At 39.6% G+C, this 15,155-nt stretch overlaps 1 annotated feature.

Annotated features, from left to right (window-relative positions):
* Positions 916 to 1,103: a silencer, noted in NCBI's record as "fragment chr21:33200433-33200620 (GRCh37/hg19 assembly coordinates)". NCBI's record gives its function as "represses an EF-1alpha promoter that drives an FKBP-Casp9 reporter gene in an ReSE screen in K562 erythroleukemia cells {active_cell/tissue: K562}" and the evidence as "EXISTENCE:reporter gene assay evidence [ECO:0000049][PMID:32094911]".

Here is a 15,155-nt window from a genome sequence, read left to right as displayed (position 1 = left end):
CAGAAACTTTGTTCTCTGAGAGTTTGCTTTACAGCCAGCCCTCTTCACCATGCCTCAGAGAACTGTGTTTCATGTTATATAAAGGAGTTCCTATAATTAGTGTTTCTAATTTGAATTATTTTTTAAAGGATTGTTAACATCCTTACCTTTTTTTTTCAATTTAATTCCTAGTGAATTAATTCTGAGTGAATTGCTCTTGTGCATAATTAGATTTTTTTCTTTTGGAAAAAAAGTCTTTAAAGTATAAAAAAGGCAAGCTGGTTATTAGGTATGAATTTAAATTATTGCCACCTACATCTCCATGTTCAATGAAGTGTCTTGGGTTGATGACATCAAATTATTCACTCTCCCCAAGGAAGGAAGAAAGGTGTTGTATACAAAGCTGAAGATGCTGGTATATTCCCTGTGAGAAATTATGTACATAGAAGAGGAAAGAGTAGACCCAAGATTTGGAAACCCCTAGGTTAAGAAAAAAGGAAAATTCAAATGCAAGTGCCCAGAAAAAGCCATGTACACAAGACAACCTGTATTAGTTTGTTTTCACACTGCTGATAAAGGCATACTGAGGCTATGTAATCTGTAAGTAAAAAGAGGTTTAATGGACTCACAGTTCCATGTGACTGGGGAGGCCTCACAATCATGGTGGAAGGTGAAAGGCGAAAGGCACGTCTTACATGGCAGCAGACAAGACAGAATGAGAGCCAAGTGAAAGAGGTTTCCCCTTATAAAACCATCAGATCTCGAGAGACTTATTCACTATCATGAGAACAGCATGGGAATAACCCACCCCCATGATTTAATTACCTCCCACTGGGTCCCTCCCACAACACGTGGGAATTATGGGAGCTATAAGTCAAGATGAGTTTTGGGTGGGGACACAGCCAAACCATATCACAATCTAAAAGGAAGCCCTTGTTTGGAAAGGAAGAAATACGGGCAGCATGGTGCATCCAGCAGCTGGGGCCGCAGACACTTTCATCAAAACCCACATTGGAGTACTTTCCACTTCCTAGCTAAGGAAATGAGGTGAGAAGTGCACTTGAGAAAGAAGTAATGCCAGCATCATTTTTAAGAAGAGAAAGGACACTAGTGGTGGCTGAGAAAAGCATTTCTGCACTATTCTTGAACTACATGGGCCTTCCTTCCTCTGCATCTTCCCCTCTTTCTCCATCTTGTCCAGGCCTGCATGCAAGTTTGCATTATGCCTTTCCCATGCGCTTTTTTCCATCTCTACCATCTCACCCCATTCTCTCATCCTACTACCCCATTTCCCATAATATTTGCCTTCTCCCATAATAGTGCCTTTTAGAGGCATCTTCCTGAATTTTTTAACACCACCCCTAAGTCCTCACCCATTCACCCATTCACCTTTACCCCACGGCATGGAACCTAGGGCATGCTCTTAACCCAGATTCAAGATTTTGTAGTAAACACACTGCTGTGCTATGCCTTATGAGATGTTATCATCTATAATAGAAAAATGTATTGCTGGATTACAAGCAATTCTAAAATCTCAGAGGCTTCCACATCAAACCTCAATTTCTCGTTTTGGTTACATGAAGGCAGCAGGTCAGCTGTGGCTTTGCTCCAGGGGTCAGAATGTCTTCAGGTTGCCTCTGTATATCTTTTCACTTTGGGCCCCAAGGTTAAGGAACAACCCCTTCATTCTGTAAGCCAGAAATAAAATCCTAAGCCTTCCAACCAACTTAATGGATCCCCCTTTGGCCAAGAAACCTTAAAAACTGAGTTCTTAGCCATGATGGGATGGGAGGTCAGACATGCCTCATGATGCCCCTTACCTTTTACAGTTTTGTTGTCGTTGTTCTTGTGGTTTGAAACAGGGTCTCACTCTTCCACCCAGGCTGGACTGCAGTGGCACAATCATAGCTCACTGCAGCCTCTAGCTCTGGGGCTCCAGCAATTCTCCTCTCTCAGCTTTCCAAGTAGCTGGGCTACAAGTGTGCACCACCATGCCCAGCTAATTTTTAAATTTTTTTGTAGAGATGGGGTCTTGCTATGTTGCTCAGGCTGGTCTCAAGTTCCTGAGCTCAAGCAATTCCCCTGCCTCAGCCTCCCAACGTGCTGGGGGATTATAGGCGTGAGCCACCACACGCAGCCCCTTTTTCAGTTTAGACACAATGCTGACAGTCAATTATGTTAAAATATAGATGATAAGACATAAGAACAGACTATTTGTGGCAATGGGATGCCAATTTGTAAACAGAACCTAAGGCCATGAGAGGCAAGGTTAAGTCACATAGCCTCCACTTAAAGAATACAGCATGTTCTAACTACCACAAGGTTTTTCTTTGTCTTTAGCAGTTAAATAAGCACTGGCTTATTTAGATAAGCAATATTAAAACAATTACAGCTCATCCTCCTCTAGATGCTGACTAAATAACCCCCTGTTCCACAAGCCGTAACTACAGCTTTGAGTGGACAAGGGACAGATTTCAATAACTTTCTCCTGATAAGACGACCGCTGTGTATGGACTGGTTCCAGCCAGTTTACAGAGGCTGCACACTGAGTGCCCACTTCACCTTTTGACATACAGGGCCTAACAGTCATACATGGAAATGTTGAGTCTCCACCCCAAAGTGAACATGGGTCACTTGGAACACATGTGTGCTTGTCATGCATGTGTACAACCCCCTTTCATGAATATTCATAGCTCCTCCTATATCCTGTTGAATATGTATATAAGCCCAACCTATTCAGCTTACACTCCTGTCTTTCCTCTCTTTTCCTTGAAGTTCCTGCTAATAGCTTCAACAGGAGACTCCTCTCTCCAACCTGTGAGAACGGCCACCTTGTAGGATATGACCTTGATATGAAATAATGCTCTCCTTTTTCTAAATATACAAATTATGTAATTATTTTGTCTTGTTTGTTTGTTTGTTTTGAGATAGAGTCTCACTCTGTTGCCCAGGCTGGAGTGCAGTGGTACAATCTCAGCTCACTGCAACCTCCGCCTTCCAGGTTCAAGCGATCCTCCTACCTCAGCCTCCCAAGTAGCTGGGATTACAGGGATGTGCCACCACTCCCATCTAATTTTTTGTATCTTTAATAGAGACGGGGGTTTCACCATGTTGGCCAGGCTGGTCTCGAACTCCTGACCTCAGATGATCTGCCTGCCTCAGCCTCCCAGAGTGCTGGAATTACAGGCATGAGCCACCACGCCTGGCCACATTGTGTAATTTTTAAGCTAACAATTCTGAGAAGACATCTTGCCTTTCTCTTGCAGAAGGAAGTGGCCAAGCCAAACCAGACAACAACATCTGAAGCATTTTGCTCCAGTGTGGCCTCCATCATGTTTGCTAACATTGTGCTAGCTAAAGCAAGTCACATGGCTAAGAATGCCTACATCCTCCACCTACAGAGAGGGAACAAATCACTGTGACCAAAAATGTAACCTACGGCAGACATAATGAACAAGCAGGAACCCAGCCGTAGACAGGAGCAAACATCCAGTTGATGGTTTTGAGTCAATATTGTCACCAATCTGGGTAATTCTTTGTCTTTAAAAAAAAAAAGTGTTATTTCCTGGGTAAAAATGTTAATTGTGTGTTTTTTTAAAAAAAGATTTGGAAAATAGGAGGAGATAAAAGAACAAATAAGAATATAAGAGCCACGCATAATATTACTGCCTATAGACAACGTAGTACATTTCCTTCAAGAATTTTATCTACAGGTGGGTGTGAGGGGGAGAAGGTGGTTAAATTGGGATTCCATTTCAAGGTTTTATAACCTGCTTTTCTTCATTAACATGTTGTGTGCCTTCTCCTGTATCCGCAGAAGTTCATCACAAATCTCATATTATCTAAATACATAATACTTATTTTTATGATAGACAAATACTTTATATCCTTTTATTATTGGGTGTTTGATCTGCTCTGATTTTTTTCATGCTAGTATAAATATTTCTGCTATGACCATCCTTACAAGTAAATTTTTATGGTACCTATGATTATTTCCCAACAACAGAATGGTACTGAGTTATAATACAATGCACTGTATATATTTAAAGTGTGTAATTTGACATGTTGACATATGTAACCATACATGAAAATAGCACCAGAAGCAATCATGGATAATGAATACATTCATTACCTCCAAATTTTCTGTGTGCCTCCTTTTCTCTCTCCATCCCATCCCACTCAATCCATTAAAGAGCCTTCTGTCAACATAGATTAGCCTTTCTAGAATTTTATAAAAATTAGTAGCAGTCAGTATGTACTATTTCAGCTGGCTTCTGTCACTTACATAGTTATTTAGAGATTCATCCATGTTGTTGCATGCATCAATTCAATACTCCTTTCCTTTTCTTTTTATTGTGCAGTAATATTCTAATGTATGACTATACACAATTTGTTTATCCATTTATCTGTTCATGGACCTTTCAGTTGTTTACAGTTTAGGTCTATTACAAATACAGCTGACATTAATATTCATATTCAAGTCTTTGTATGGACACATGCTTTCATCTCTTTTGGGTAAATGTGTAAGGCTGGAATGACTGGTGGTAGAGATATTTTTAACTTTTAAGAAACTGCCAAACTGTTTTCCAAAGTAGTTGCACCATTTGACATTTCCACAGTAGTGCATATGAGTTTCAGCTGCTTCACAACATCATCACTTGGCATGACAGGTCTCTTTAATTTTAGCCATTGTAATAAGTGTGTAATGGTACCTCATACTGGTTTTAATTTGCATTTCCTTAATGACTAAAGATGTTGAGCATCTTCTCACGTGCTTATCCATATATCCGTATATCTTTCTGGTGAACTGTCTGTTCAAATCTTTTGCCCATTTAAACATTAGGATTGTGGCTCACGCCTGTAATCCCAGCACTTTGGAAGACTGAGGCAGGCAGATCACCTGAGGTCAGAAGTTCAAGACCAGCCTGGCCAACATAGTGAAACCCCATCTCTACAAAAATACAAAAATTAACCAGGCATGATGGCGAGTGCCTGTAATCCCAGCTACTTGGAAGGCTGAGGCAGGAGAATTGCTTGAACTCAGGAGGCGGAGGTTGCAGTGAAAACACACCACTGCACTCCAGCCTGGGCAACAGAGCTAGACTCTTTCTCAAAAAAAAATTTTTAAAGATAAAAATAAAAATTAGGATTGTTTATTTTCTTATTATTGAATTTTGAGCATTATTTATATATTCCATACACAAGTCCATTATCAGATATGTGATTGGAAAATAATAGTTTTTCTCTGTCTTTGGTTTGTTTTCTTATTCTCTTAGAGGGACTTATGAAGAGCAAAAGTTCTTAATTTTGATGCAGTCCAATTTAACAATTTTTTTCTTTTATGGATTATACTTTTGGTTTGTATCTAACAAATTTTTACGTTACTCAATGTCACAAAGATTTTCTCTTACGTTTTAGTCTAAAAGTTTTATAATTTTACACTTTATATTCAGGTCTATAACCCAGTTTGAGTTATTTTTGTACATGTTATGAGGTATTGGTTGAAGTTAACTTTTTGCAGGTATATGTTCAATTATTCCAACATCATCTGTTGAAAAGACTATCCTTTCTTGACTGAACTGCCTTTGTACCTTTGTCAAAAATCTTTGCCTATATACATGAGGACTAATTCTGGACCCAAGTGTATTCCCTTTATCTATTTGTCTCTCTTTGTGCTAATACTGCACTGTGTCTTTGTTACTATAACTTTATAATAAGTTTGAAGTCAGGTGGTGTAAGTCCTCCAACTTTGTTCTTATTTTTCAAAGTTGTTGTTCTGGGGTCTTTGCATTTCCATGTGAATTTTAACACAGTTTATCAATTTTTACCCAACCCCCCAAAAGCCTGCTGCAATTTTGATTAAAATTGCATTGAAACTGTAGATTAATTTGGAGATAATTAGCATCCTAACAATATTGAGTCTTTCAATCCGTAAACATGGTATATTTCCCCATTTACTTAGGTCTTCCTTAATTTGTTTTGGCAATGTTACGCAGTTTTCAATAATAGGTCTTTCACATCTTTACCTCAAAGTATTTCATATTTTTGATAAAATGTAAATGGTGTATTTTAAAGTTTCAATGTCTGATTGTTTGTTGCTAGTATATAAAAATACTATGATTTTTAATCTTAAATCCTGCAACCTTGCTAGACCCATATATTCGTTCTAGAATCTTTATTTTTATGAGTTACAACTGACAAATAAAATTGTATATATCTGTGGTGTATAACGTGATGTTTTGATATATGTATACATTGCAAAATTATTAAATTGAGCTAATTAACAGATCCATCACCTCACATACTTATTATTTTTTGTGGTAAGAACATTAAGTTACACTCTCATAGGAATTTTCAAGTATGCAATGCATTATTATTAACTGTAATCATCATACTATATAGTAGCAGAGCTTATTCATTCTGTCTAACTGAACCTTGGACACTTTGACCAACATCTCCCAATTCCCATCTCCCATAACCTGCCAGGCCACTGACAACCACATTCCATTCTTTGCTTCTATGAGTTCAACATGTTTAGATCCCACGTATAAGTGAGATCAAGAAACATTTGTTTTTCTATGCCTGGCTTATTTTTCCTGGCATAAGGTTCTCCGGGTCCATGCATATTGTTACAAATGACAGGAGTTTCTTCTTTTTTAAGGCTGAATAGTATTCTATCCACATTGCCTTTATCATTCATCCATCGGTGGACACAAATTGATTCCATATCTTGTCAATTATGAATATGGGAGTGCAGATATCTCTTTGATATTTTTATGTCTTTTGGGTATATATCCAGAAATAGGATTGCTGGATCATATAGTAGTTCTATTTTTTAATTGATATATAATAATTGTACATATTTATAGAGTACATGTGATACTTAGATATGTGCATACCATCTATAATAATCAACTCAGAGTAATTAGGATATCCATCGCCTCACACATTTATCATTTCTTTGTGCTGACAGCATTTCAACTCCTCCAGCTGTTTTGAAATATACAATAAATCATTGTTAATTGTAGTCACCCTACTGTGCTATCAAACAATAGAACTTATTCCTCCTATCTAACTGTTATGTTTGTACCCAATAACCAACCTCTCTGCATGCCTCTGACCCATCCCACTGATGCTTCCCAGCTTCTGGTAACCATCGTTCTACTACCTACATCCATGAGGTCCACTTTTTTAGCTCCCATTTATGAGTGAGAATATGCAATAATTGTCTTTCTGTGCCTGGTTTATTCAGTTAACATAATGATCTCCAGTTTCATCCATGCTGCTGCAAATGACAGAAGTTCACTCTTTTTATGGCTAAATACTATTCCATTGTATAACAAAGACAGTCCGGAAGTATACCTTTCTCTTCCATTTTTAGGAAGATTTTGTGTAGAATTGGTTTAATTTTTCCCTTAATTGTTTGGCAGAATTTCCCAATAGAACTAACTGGGCCTTGAGTTTTCTTTGTGGGAATTTTTTTTTTTTTTTTGAGACAGAGTCTTGCTTTGTCACCCAGGCTGGAGTGCAGTGGCGATCTTGGCTCACTGCAAGCTCCGCCTCCTGAGTTCATGCCATTCTCCTGTCTCAGCCTCCCGAGTAGCTGGGACTACAGGTGCCCACCGCCACGCTCGGCTAATTTTTTGTATTTTTTTTTTTAGTAGAGACGGGGTTTCACCATGTTAGCCAGGATGGTCTCGATCTCCTGAACTCATGATCCACCCGCCTCAGCCTCCCAAAGTGCTGGGATTACAGGCGTGAACCACTGCGCCCGGCGAAAATTTTTAACTAGATATTAATGCTCTTAAGAGATACGGGAATTTTTAAGTTACCTATTTATTCCTCAGTGAGCTTTGTGTCTTTTAACAATTTTTTTTCATTTGTTATCAAATATATTGGCACAAAGTTGTTACTAATATTATCCTTTTAATGTCTATAGAATCTGGAGTTGGACCTTTTGTTAGAATTGGACCTTTCATTCTTGATATCGGTGTCTCTATTTTTAAAATAAACTTTTAATATTAAAATAGTTTTAGATTTACAGAAAATTCTGATAAATCCCAGGCCCACTTTGCCCTATTATTAACATCTTTCATTAGTATGGTAAATTTGTCATAATTAATGAACCAGTATTGATGCACTATTGTTCATTAAAGTCCATACTTTATTCAGATTTTCTTTCTTTTCACCTTATGTCCTATTTCTCCTCCAGGATTTCATCTAGGATGCCACATTACAGTTAGTAACCATTTCTCCTTGGGTGCCTCTTGTCACAGTTTCTCAAATTTTCCTTGATAGTTTTGAGGAATACTGACAAGAAATTTTGTTTAGAACATATTTCAACTTGGGTTCGTCTGATGTTTGTCTCATGAATTAGACAGAGTTGTGGGTTTGGGAAAGATCAGACAAGACCAGAGAGAAAGTGCCATTCTCATTACATTATGTAAGAGGTACATGCTATCAACATGACTTATCACTGTTGACATTAACTGTGATCACCAACTGAGGCGGTGTTTGTCAGCCTTCTCTACTGTACAGTGACCCTTCTCTCCACCCAGTGTACTTATCAGAAAAAAGCCATTATGTGTAGTCCACACTTCGGGAGTGCGGGGGTACATTCTATCTCCTTGAGGACAGAGTAGCTATATAAATTACTTGAGATTATTCTGCACAGGAGTTTTTTTATTCTTCATTTATTTATTTAATCATTTATTTACATCAGTATTAACAGATATAACCAGAGTTTGTTAATACGGAGGTTAAACTAAGTTAAGGTTCAAGATTATTTTTGTTTTTCTTTTTCACTAGCTTCAGTGTGTTGGCTTATCCTTTTGGGCGGGCATCTCTCATGGCCCCTAAAAGGCTGCCACAGGTGGTGGGTTCCAAGATGGCTGAATAGGAACAGCTCCAGTCTACAGCTCCCAGCGTGAGCGATGCAGAAGACGGGTGATTTCTGCATTTCCAACTGAGGTACTGGGTTCATCTCACTGGGGCTCATTGGACAGTCGGGGCAGGACAGTGGGTGCAGCGCACCAAGTGTGAGCCAAAGCAGGGCGAGGCATCGCCTCACCTGGGAAGCGCAAGGGGTCAGGGAATTCCCTTTCCTAGCCAAGGGAAGCTGTGGCAGATGGCACCTGGAAAATCAGGTCACTCCCACCCTAATACTGTGCTTTTCCAATGGTCTTAGCAAACAGCACACTAGGAGATTATATCCTGCGCCTGGCTCAGAGGGTCCCATGCCCACGGAGCCTCGCTCATTGCTAGCACAGCAGTCTGAGATCAAACTGCAAGGCAGCAGCGAGGCTGGAGGAGGGGCACCTGCCATTGCTGAGGCTTGAGTAGGTAAACAAAGCAGCCAGGAAGCTCGAACTGGGTGGAGCCCACCGCAGCTCAGGGAGGCCTGCCTGCCTCTGTAGACTCCACCTCTGGGGGCAGGGCATAGCTGAACAAAAGGCAGGAGAAACCTCTGCAGACTTAAATGTCCCTGTCTGACAGCTTTGAAGAGAGTAGTGGTTATCCCAGCACAGAGTTTGAGATCTGAGAATGGACAGACTGCCTCCTCAACTGGGTCTCTGACCCCCGAGTAGCCTAACTGGGAGGCACCCCCCAGTAGGGGCAGACTGACACCTCACACAGCCAGGTACCCCTCTGAGATGAAGCTTCCAGAGGAATGATCAGGCAGCAACATTTGCTGTTCAGCAATATTCGCTGTTCTGCAGCCTCCACTGCTGATACCCAGGCAAACAGGATCTGGAGTGGACCTCCAGCAAACTCCAACAGACCTGCAGCTGAGGGTCCTGACTGTTAGAAGGAAAACGAAAAAACAGAAAGGACATCTACACCAAAACCCCATCTGTACATCACCATCATCAAAGACCAAAGGTAGATAAAACCACAAAGATGTGGAAAAAACAGAGCAGAAAAGCTGAAAATTCTAAAAATCAGAGCACCTCTCCCCCTCCAAAGGAACACAGCTCCTCGCCAGCAATGGAACAAAGCTGGATGGAGAATGCCTTTGACGAGTTGAGAGAAGAAGATTTCAGATGATCAAACTTCTCTGAGCTAAAGGAGGAAGTTCAAACCCAACACAAAGAAGCTAAAAACCTTGAAAAAAGATTAGACGAATGGCTAACTAGAATAACCAGTGTAGAGAAGTCCTTAAATGACCTGATGGAGCTGAAAACCATCGCACGAGAACTATGAGACGAATGCACAAGCTTCAGTAGCTGATTCGATCAACTGGAAGAAAGGGTATCAGTGATTGAACATCAAATGAATGAAATGAAGCGAGAAGAGAAATTTAGAGAAAAAAGAGTAAAAAGAAATGAACAAAGCCTCCAAGAAATATGGGACTATGTGAAAACACCAAATCTACATCTGATTGGTGTACCTGAAAGTGATGGGGAGAATGGAACCAAGTTGGAAATCACTCTGCAGGATATTATCCAGGAGAACTTCCCCAATCTAGCAAGGCAGGCCAACATTCAAATTCAGGAAATACAGAGAATGCCACAAAGATACTCCTCGAGAAGAGCAACTCCAAGACACATAATTGTCAGATTCACCAAATTTGAAATGAAGGAACAAATGTTAACGGCAGCCAGAGAAAGGTCAGGTTACCCACAAAGGGAAGCCCATCAGACTAACAGTGGATCTCTTGGCAGAAACTCTACAAGCCAGAAGAGAGTGGGGGCCAATATTCAACATTCTTAAAGAAAAGAATTTTCAACCCAGAATTTCATATCCAGCCAAACTAAGCTTCATAAGTGAAGGAGAAATAAAATCCTTTACAGACAAGCAAATGCTGAGATTTTGTCACCACCAGCCCTGCCCTACAAGAGCTCCTGAAGGAAGCACTAAACATGGAAAGGAACAACCGGTATCAGCCACTGCAAAAACATGCCAAATTGTAAAGACCACCAATGCTAGGAAGAAACTGCATCAACTAACGAGCAAAATAACCAGCTAACATCATAATGACAGGATCAAATTCACACATAACAATATTAACCTTAAATGTAAATGGGCTAAATGCTCCAATTAAAAGACACAGACTGGCAAATTGGATAAAGAGTCAAGACCCATCAGCATGCTGTATTCAGGAGACCCACGTCACGTGCAGAGACACACATAGGCTTAAAATAAAGGGATGGCGCAAGATCTACCAAGCAAATGGAAAACAAAAAAAGGCAGGGGTTGCAATCCTAGTCTCGGATAAAACAGACTTTAAACCAACAAAGATCAAAAGAGACAAAGAAGGCCATTACATAATGGTAAAGGGATCAATTCAACAAGAAGAGCTAGCTATCTTAAATATATACGCACCCAATACAGGAGCACCCAGTTTCATAAAGCAAGTCCTTAGAGATCTACAAAGACACTTAGACTCCCACACAATAATAATGGGAGACTTTAACACCCCACTGTCAACATTAGACAGATCAACAAGACAGAAAGTTAACAAGGATATCCAGGAGTTGAACTCAGCTCTGCACTAAGCGGACCTAATAGATATTTACAGAATTCTCCACCCCAAATCAACAGAATATACATTCTTCTCAGCATCACATCACACTTATTCCAAAATTGACCACATAGTTGGAAGGAAAGCACTCCTCAGCAAATGTAAAAGAACAGAAATTATAATAAACTGTCTCTCAGACCACATTGCAATCAAACTGGAACTCAGGACTAAGAAACTCAGTCAAAACCACTCAACTACATGGAAACTGAACAACCTGCTCCTGAATGACTACTGGGTACATAAAGAAATGAAGGCAGAAATAAATATGTTCTTTGAAACCAATGAGAACAAAGACACAACATACCAGAATCTCTGGGGCACATTTAAAGCAGTGTGTAGAGGGAAATTTATAGCACTAAATGCCCACAAGAGAAAGCAGGAAAGATCTAAAATTGACACCCTAACATCACAATTAAAAGAACTAGAGAAGCGAGAGCAAACGCATTCAAAAGCTAGCAGAAGGAAGAAATAACTAAGATCAGAGAAGAACTGAAGGAGATAGAGACACAAAAAACCCTTCAAAAAATCAATGAATCCAGGAGCTGGTTTTTTGAAAAGATCAACAAAATTGATAGACTACTAGCAAGACTAATGAAGAAGAAAAGAGAGAAGAATCAAATAGACACAATCAAAAATGATAAAGGGGATATCACCACCAATCCCACAGAAATACAAACTACCATCAGAGAATACTATAAACACCTCTACACAAATAAACTAGAAAATCTAGAAGAAATGGATAAATTCCTAGACACATACACCCTCCCAACACTAAACCAGGAAGAAGTTGAATCCCTGAATAGACCAATAACAGGCTCTGAAATTGAGGCAATAATTAATAGCCTACCAACGAAAAAAGTCCAGGACCAGATGGATTCACAGCTGAATTCTACCAGAGGTACAAGGAGGAGCTGGTACCATTCCTTCTGAATCTTTTCCAATCAATAGAAAAAGAGGGAATCCTCCCTAACTCATTTTATGAGGCCAGCATCATCCTGATACCAAAGCCTGGCAGAGACACAATCAAAAAAGAGAATTTTAGACCAATATCCTTGATGAACATTTATGCAAAAATCCTCAATAAAATACTGGCAAACCGAATCCAGCAGCACATCAAAAAGCTTATCCACCATGATCAAGTGGGCTTCATCCCTGGGATGCAAGGCTGGTTCAACATATGCAAATCAATAAATGTAATCCAGCATATAAACAGAACCAAAGACAAAAACCACATGATTATCTCAATAGATGCAGAAAAGGCCTTTGACAAAATTCAACAACCCTTCATGCTAAAAACTCTTAATAAATTAGGTATTGATGGGACGTATCTCAAAATAATAAGAGCTATCTATGACAAACCCACAGCCAATATCATACTGAATGGGCAAAAACTGGAAGCATTCCCTTTGAAAACTGGCACACCACAGGAATGCCCTCTCTCACCACTCCCATTCAACATAGTGTTGGAAGTTCTAGCCAGGGCAATTAGGCAGGAGAAGGAAATAAAGGGTATTCAATTAGGAAAAGAGGAAGTCAAATTGTCCCTGTTTGCAGATGACATGATTGTATATCTAGAAAACCCCATTGTCTCAGCCCAAAATCTCCTTAAGCTGATAAGCAACTTCAGCAAAGTCTCAGGATACAAAATCAATGTACAAAAATCACAAGCATTCTTATACACCAATAACAAACAGAGAGCCAAATCATGAGTGAACTCCCATTCACAATTGCTTCAAAGAGAATAAAATACCTAGGAATCCAACTTACAAGGGATGTGAAGGACCTTTTCAAGGAGAACTACAAACCACTGCTCAATGAAATAAAAGAGGATACAAACAAATGGAAGAACATTCCATGCTCACGGGTAGGAAGAATCAATATCGTGAAAATGGCCATACTGCCCAAGGTAATTTATAGATTCAATGCCATCCCCATCAAGCTACCAATGACTTTCTTCACAGAATTGGAAAAAACTACTTCAAAGTTCATATGGAACCAAAAAAGAGCCCGCATCACCAAGTCAATCCTAAGCCAAAAGAACAAAGCCAGAAGCATCACGCTACCTGACTTCAAACTATACTACAAGGCTACAGTAACCAAAACAGCATGGTACTGGTACCAAAACAGAGATATAGATCAATGGAACAGAACAGAGTCCTCAGAAATAATGCCGCATATCTACAACCATCTGATCTTTGACAAACCTGACAAAAACAAGAAACGGGGAAAGGATTCCCTATTTGATAAATGGTGCTGGGAAAACTGGCTAGCCATATGTAGAAAGCTGAAACTGGATCCCTTCCTTACACCTTATACAAAAATTAATTCAAGATGGATGAAAGACTTACATGTTAGACCTAAAACCATAAAAACCCTAGAAGAAAACCTAGGCAATACAATTCAGGACATAGGCATGAGCAAGGACTTCATGTCTAAAACACCAAAAGCAATGGCAACAAAAGCCAAAATAGACAAATTGGATCTAATTAAACTAAAGAGCTTCTGCACAGCAAAAGAAACTACCATCAGAGTGAACAGGCAACCTACAGAATGGGAGAAAATTTTTGCAATCCACTTATCTGACAAAGGGCTAATATCCAGAATCTACAAAGAACTCAAACAAATTTACAAGAAAAAAACAAACAACCCCATCAGAAAGTGGGCAAAGGATATGAACAGACGCTTCTCAAAAGAAGACATTTATGCAGCCAGCAGACACATGAAAAAATGCTCATCATCATTGGCCATCAGAGAAATGCAAATCAAAACCACAATGAGATACCATCTCACATCAGTTAGAATGGCAATCATTAAAAAGTCAGGAAACAACAGGTGCTGGAGAGGATGTGGAGAAATAGGAACACTTTTACACTGTTAGTGGGACGGACTGTAAACTAGTTCAACCATTCTGGAAGACAGTGGGGTGATTCCTCAAGGATCTACAACTAGAAATACCATTTGACCCAGCCATCCCTTTACTGGGTATATACCCAAAGGATTATAAATCATGCTGCTATAAAGACACATGCACACATATGTTTATTGTGGCACTATTCACAAAAGCAAAGACTTGGAATCAACCCAAATGTCCAACAATGATAGACTGGATTAAGAAAATATGGCACATATACACCATGGAATACTATGCAGCCATAAAAAAGGATGAGTTCATGTCCTTTGTAGGGACATGGATGAAGCTGGAAACCATCATTCTCAGCAAACTATCACAAGAACAAAAAACCAAACACCGCATGTTCTCACTCATAGGTGGGAATTGAACAATGAGAACACTTGGACACAGAAAGGAGAACATTGCACACTGGGGCCTGTCGTGGGGTGGGGGGAGGGGGGAGCGAAAGCATTAGGAGATATACCTAATGTAAATGACGAGTTAATGGGTGCAGCACACCAACATGGCATGTATACATATGTAACAAACCTGCATGTTGTGCACATGTACCCTAGAACTTAAATAATAAATAAATAAATAAATAAATAAAGGCTGTCATAGTTCCAGGCATCACCTCCTCACCTATGCACACCAGAAGCTGAAAAAGGAGCTTGCTGCCTTCTTTGAAAAGCAAAGGAAAATTTCCCATAAGACCCCTATGGATTCCCTTCTCATCTCATTGGCCAAAATTCTGTCACATGA

Source organism: Homo sapiens, chromosome 21 (genome assembly GCF_000001405.40).
Source record: "Homo sapiens chromosome 21, GRCh38.p14 Primary Assembly".
Lineage (NCBI taxonomy): Eukaryota > Metazoa > Chordata > Mammalia > Primates > Hominidae > Homo > Homo sapiens.
Note: the sequence above shows the minus strand (reverse complement) of the source record. Positions and strands in the feature narration are given on the sequence as shown.